Raw genomic sequence first — 7,127 nt, 5'->3', positions numbered from 1 at the left:
GCTAAGCCTCCATCACTCTTGCATTCTGCACACCTGCAGACTTAACACTACACCACGTAGAAGCCACAAAGGCTTATGGTTTGTGCCCTCTGTAGCATCATGCCAAACTATAGTTGGGGAGCTTTGAGCCATGGCTGGAGTTAGAGATGCAGACATATGGGGAGCAGTGTCTCAAGGCTGTAAAGACAACAGGGCCTTGGGCCTGGCCCCTGAAAAACATTATTTCCTCCTAAGCCTCTGGGCCTGTGATGGAAGGGGCTGCCTCAAAGACTTTGAAATGCCTTTGAGGCCTTTTTCTCATTGTCTTGGCTATTAGCACTTGGATTCCTGTTATTCATGCTAATTTCCCTAGCAAGTGTTTGCTCTACAGCCTGCTTGAATTCATCTACTGAAAACGCTTTTTCCTTCTATACCACATGGCTAAGTGGTAAATGTTCCAAATTTTTGTGCTTTGCTTCCCTTTAATTGTAAGTTCCAACTTTAAGTCATTCCTTTGCTCCCACATCTGATAATAGGTTGTTAGAAACAGCAACATCACATCTTGAATGCTTTGCTGCTCAGAAATTTATTCTGCCAGATGCCTGAGGGTATTACTCTTAGGTTCAACCTTCTGCAAATCTCTAGGGCATGAACACAGTGCAGCCAAGTTTTTGCTAAGGTGTAAAAAGGCTGATCTTTACTCCAGTTCTCAGTTACTTTTTCATTTCCATCTGAGACTTCATCACACTGGAGTTCATTGCCCATATTTCTTTCAGCATTTTGGCCACAATCATTTAACCAGTCTCTAAGAACTTCCAAACTTTTCCTCATCTTCCTTCTTCAGAGCCCTCTAAACTCTTCCAACCTCTACCCATTACCCAGTTCCATAGCTGCTTCCACATTTTCAGGTATCTTTATAGCAATGCCCCACTTTTCAACATCAATTTTCTAGCTACTATTATCTGAAACATGTTTAATATGTATTATACCTAAAATATTCGTTTTCTTCCTCATACATAGTTGCTTCCTGGTATCTGGTTTAGAAATAATATTAACATGCCAAATGTCAAGGAATTGAAGGAAGGGCCTATATGAGTAGTTAAATTAGCTGTATTGTTTTTGTTTTGTGGATTTTGTTAGTAATTTTTTTGTGTGTTTTGCTTTGGGACCTTTTTTATTTTGGTTTTGCAAAAAGTAACTTAAATAGTTTAATAATTGCTTCATATAACATGGAGGTAGAACAGGAAAAAATACATTCAGCTATTCTTATTATGGATTAAGTGTTCAAATAAACCAGTGTGAGATAATAACACTGTCAATTAATTGGTGGGATTAGCCTTGCCATTTTATTTTTATAAATGTGTATTTTTTCTGAATGTGTCTTGAGTCCAAGAGTGGACAAAAAATAATTTTCTACTTTGCACTAATTTATAAAGGTATTTGAAAGTCTGTATTACTAATTTGTTAAATTCGTGATATTCTGCCTATGACATAAATTGTAAACTTTTGTTTTTCTAAAAAAAGTAATTGACCACTTGTAAAAGAAATAATGCCCTATGCTGATGAAAATTCACACAATGTTATGATACTCAAGTATAGAAATTGGGCACAGGATATATTCTGATTAAAATTTCCTCAAAGATCAACTTGAAGGATAGCTTTTGACTCTCCTTCATGCATATACCCCTTTTCATATTTCTCCTTCTCAAAGAAATATTTTTTCTATCATAGCATGACTACCCATTATGTAACCAAAAGCACACAGCTTCACTTGAAAAAGACAACTCAAATATCATCAATTACTCTTTATACTTCCAAATCTAAAATCTTGATTTACTGAATTGTTTTTCCCTGGAACTCATCAAATTTGGTCTCTGTGCTTTGTTATTTCTGAGCGAAATCATAAGGCTATTTACATGTACATGAAATGTGCAACTGGTCCCAGAGCTATCAATGGTATCTAAACCTTTGTTCCTACATGATTCATCCCATGAGTCTTTCACCTCTTGTAAAAAACACAGCTCTTGCCTTTTGCTACTTTCTGTGGTTTTTAAAATTTCTTTTTGATTCCCACTAATTTCTGAGGATTCTAATCATTCACAAGACTTGCCAGCACATGTTTGCACAAACTCCATTTTGTAGCAGCAACCTTATTTTCCTCTGAGAGGCAGAATTGTTTACCCAAATACTCATCGTAGGCCACTTTAAAAAATATGTTGTCTAGGTGAATCAGAAGCTTAAATTGTTCCAGTTGCAATGTTAACTCTTACTTAAATAAAAGCACTGTTTTTCACCAAGTAGAAATATTTTTTTTCCTTTGGACATGGAATCTCTAATTAAGATTCCCGGAGATTAAGAAATCTTTTTCAAGTGGGAAAGTATATGTAATAAAAGAGAAATATTGTTCATTGACTTTAAGCATACACAGCACTCTATAGGGTAGCCTCCCAGTTTCATATAGTTGAATTGTCCAGATAGCTCTGCACTTGAATCTTCTTGGGCCATCCCACTTTTCTATATATCACGAACTACTTTCATTTAATGAATTACATTATAAGATCAATGAAGAGTTGCATGGGTATCAGACTTTTTCTTATTATTTTGTTTGAAAGTGAGTTTCTTGGCTAATAGCAAGATTGTGTGGGAAGTTCTGAAGAAAAAATATATGTGTGTATGTATATATATGTTGAGTATATATAAATTAATGGAAGGAAGAAAAATATTGTACAGAATGAAGAATACTGTAAATATTCATATGTAGCAAAAAATATTAAAATAGATGTAACAGAACCTATGAATGTTGGAAAGGAATACTTAGAGATAATGGAGATGATATTGTTTTCTAAATGTGTTCACATGAAAAAAGCAACAATGAAAATATAATAAACTATCACACTTAGATATTTGTTGCTAGCCATAGTTCCTTCACTCCATGACTTTGTTGCCAACAATAGTCTACATTTTTTATGGTCTAACCTTAATTATAAACATCTCAGCATTTATTAGGGCCATGTATGTTTGTAAATAATATAATCTCTAAACATTTTAACGCAATTGAAACATATAAATAAATGAGGAAAATATGTATAATAATTTAAGATAACAGACTAAATGTCTCTAACCTTATAAACATAAGGTTTATCTTTATCTCAAGAATATAGCAATACTACTATGGAAACAGAGGTTAGCATAAACATTATCCTATCATAAATTACAGGTGTATTCTAAGTCTTCTAGTGGTTACATTTAAAAACATGCAAGGAAATTGGCAATAATATGTTCAGAATGGTATAAGATAAGGTTACTTCCATTCAGTGGATAGAATTTTAGTGTTCCAAATTATGACCATTTCCTGCAGAAGGTTTTTTTTTTTTTCTGTAGCAGCTACTTTTAGAAGATAAGACTATTCCATAATTAATTTCCTGTTGTTTTTTGTTATGCTTCTAGTAATGTGTTTCTGTGCTCTAATAGGATAAAGATAGTGTTACAAAATAAATGTAATGCATATTTTCCATTTTTCAAAGCCTTGTCTTTGAAAGCATGAAAAGTTTTGAGTTTAAAATTGTAAGTTATGTAAATTACATCCAAACAAATGATTGTTTAGAAAGTTTAAGGTCCTTAGCCGTGTGCTAGTTCCACTGAAAGATAAACATAAGCATAACCAACTTCCTATTAAAAGCTTAAGGGGAATACAGCCAGGAGCAGTGGCTCAGGCCTGTAATCCCAGCACTTTGGGAGGCAAGGCGGGCAGATCATGAGGTCAGGTGTTCGAGACTAGCCTGATCAACATGGTGAAACCCCGTCTCTACTAAAAATGCAAAAATTAGCCAGGCGTGGTGGTGCATGCCTGTAGTCCCAGCTACTTGGGAGGCTGAAGCAGGAGAATCTTTTGAACCTGGGAGGCAGAGGTTGCAGCGAGCCGAGATCATGCCACTGTACTCCAGCCTGGGTGACAGAGTGAGACTCCATCTCTAAATAAATAAATACATAAACTTAAGGGGGAATATTCACTTTTAGGGCCATTGAAAAGCATATAGAGAACTGAATACAAGGCTGAATTCAAATTGCATTGCAAAGAACAAAGTGTATATGATGAGGTAAGTCGTGGTAGAAATACTTTTTGAACAATGAATAGGATTTTTATAGGTAAACATGTATGAGAGGAAAGGCATTTAACAAAAAAAAAATATGTATATTAGCAAAAATTTAGAGGCTGGAAAATTTGAGACACCGTTAGTGAAATACATTGACTTCAACTTGTATAGATTACATCAATATTTTAAAAGAGCTGAATAATGAGAATGCATGGCCGCATGGGAGGAGCAACGCACATTGGGGCCTGTTGGAGGGTGGGGGATGAAAGGCAGAAGAGCATCAGGAAGAATAGCTAATGGATGTTGGGCTTGAAACCTAGGTGATGGGATGATCTGTGCAGCAAACCACCATGGCACATGTTTACCTATGTAACAAACCTGCACATTTTGCACATGTACCCCTGAACTTAAAAGTTCAAAAATTTTTAAAAAATAAAAAATTTAAAAACGTGTAGCCAGCTATAATGTGGGGAAGGTGTGTTGTACCGGTTCATTTAAAATCTTGAAAAATTAAGATTGTGAAATATATAACTAATGAATTAGGCAATGAACACGATTAGCACTGTGCTTAAGAAAGATTGATCTGGTAACACCATAATACATAAAAGTAGCTAAAGTATTGACAGATATGAAGTCAACAGTTGGACATTATTTCAGTAATCCTAGCTTATATGAGGAATCCTACAAATGCAGCATTAAATGTAGAGATAGAAAGAAGAAAATAATATTGAACAAAACAAAGAAAGCAAAATCAAAATAGAAAAGGACAAATGTGGTTGCTCATAAAATTAGGTGAGAAAAATAACACAAAAATGACTAAAGCCTTATATTTAGCTATTAGAAGATTCATGCTTCATTACTAAGAGTTATTGAAGGCATGATTTAGAGCCATGTCCCAGAGAGAGCCTAATGGATAACCTGTAATTGTTGATGACTTTCGTCCAATAGTTCTGCATGACTGTTGCAATATTAAATGACATAAATACACTAATAGTGTAATTTTCTTAAAAACTTTGATAAAAATTTGAGTGATCCCTATTTATAAAAAAAATGATAATTGGTCTATGGGAATTAAAATCACTTCTTTATATGACATGCCTTTAGGTTGTTTTAAACTTTATGCTTTACTGTAATTTCACAAATATAAGCTATACATTTATAGCACACACACATTATTTAAGAGAACAGGAGATGGCAAAGCACAATGTGTTTACATAAATAGGTTGAGGGGTGATGTCAGCAAGAATGTCAAAATAGAATTTTTCTAGCTCTACTCTTTCCCACCAAATCCCATCTAGAAATTATCGATAAGCAAGAATACCTTTGTGAATATCCCAGAACTTGAGAGTGAGGCTGACACCCTTTTTGACCATATAATGAGAAAAGCCATGCTTAAAGGTCTTCCCCCATCCTAGTGGCAACTGCAAGTCAATGATTCCCTTCAGAGGGAGCATATGGTTCCACCCACCCCCAGTGGCTAGTCGGCGAAGTCTTGGTGCTCTGCTTAAGCCTACCCTAGGCTGGGATGCAAGCCCAAGTCCACACATATCTGGAGTAAAGCCTCTGGTCCTGCTCACTCTGTGAGGTCACATAGCAATTCCAGAAACCTCACCAAGTCTGAGAGCCCATCAAGTGGCCCTGCCCAGCTACACATGCCAAGCAACGGTACTGTCCTACCAGAAAAGATAACCTACAACCCTGTCCAATTAGAATAAGTTACAGAGTCCAGCCAACAGAATTATCTGATGACAGAGTCCAGTGAGTGGTCTCACTGGAACAAAGGAACACAGTATGCAGTACCATTTAACATCAGACAGGAAGCAACCAATCCCAACTAGACAACCTGGCACCAAGGTCTACCTGTGTACAGTTGCTTCCAGTAGGCTCATCCATAACATCAGGATAAACTAAATAGTACAGATATATCACCACCAAAGAATACCTGCAAAGGCCAGAAATAATGGCCATTTCCTCAAATGTGACGGCATCAATGCAAAGACACAAGGCTTAAGAAGAATTACGAAAATATGACACACCAAAAGATACTAATAAAGCTCCAATAATAGACAGAAGAAATGGAGATCTATGAAATGATGGACAAATAATTCAGAATAATACTCAAAGAAGTTCAGAGAACTCAAATAAAAATACAGATACAAAATTAAATAAATTTTTGATTACAATTTAGGACTAAAATAATTTTTACAAAGAAATAAAAACAATTAAAAAACACAATTAGAGATCCTAGAGATAAAGAATACAATAACTGAACTAGAAAATTCAATAGTAAACTTCAAAGGCAGAGTTGATCATGCAAAAGAAAATAAATAAACTCAAACATATTACATTAGAAATTATTCAATTAGAGGAGCAAAAAATAAATAAATAGAAAGGAAAAAAATAAAGGTCTATGCAAATTATGGGACACCATCAAGCAAAACAACTTTGACATAACAGGAGTTTCAAAAGAAAAGATAAATTAAAAGGCCAAGAAAATGTATTTAATAAAATAATGGCTGAAAATTTTGCAGATTGGAGATAAGACAACAACATCCAGGTCAAGGAAGTTCAAAGGATGTCAGATAAATTCAGCCCAAAAAGGAGCTCACCAAGACACATAATCATATTATGAAAAATCAAAGACGAAGAAAGAACACAAAAGCAGCAAGAGAAAATAAATATATTCCATTCAATGAAGACCCAGTATGACATTCAGTGAATTTCTTAGCAGAAACCCTGCAGTCCAGGAGATATGGGATGATATATTCAAAGTGCTGAAGGAAAGACTGTCAACAAAGACTATTTTACCAGCAAAGCTATAATTCAGAAATGAGGTATAAATAAATACTTTCCCCACCCACCCCCCAAAAAAACTAAGGGTAATTATCCCTAGAGCTACTTTATAGAAATTTCTAATGGAAATTATTTAAGCTGAAAGAAAATCCTGTAACTAATTCTGAAGAAAAAGGAAAAAATTCAATGGTACAAGTAATGTTTAGTCATATTCAGAATTCTCACACTGTAAATATAGTGTGTAAAGCAATATTATTCCCA

This window comes from Homo sapiens, chromosome 5 (genome assembly GCF_000001405.40).
Source record: "Homo sapiens chromosome 5, GRCh38.p14 Primary Assembly".
NCBI classification, from domain to species: domain Eukaryota; kingdom Metazoa; phylum Chordata; class Mammalia; order Primates; family Hominidae; genus Homo; species Homo sapiens.
The sequence above is the reverse complement of the archived record's forward strand: the minus strand, read 5'-3'. Positions refer to the sequence as shown.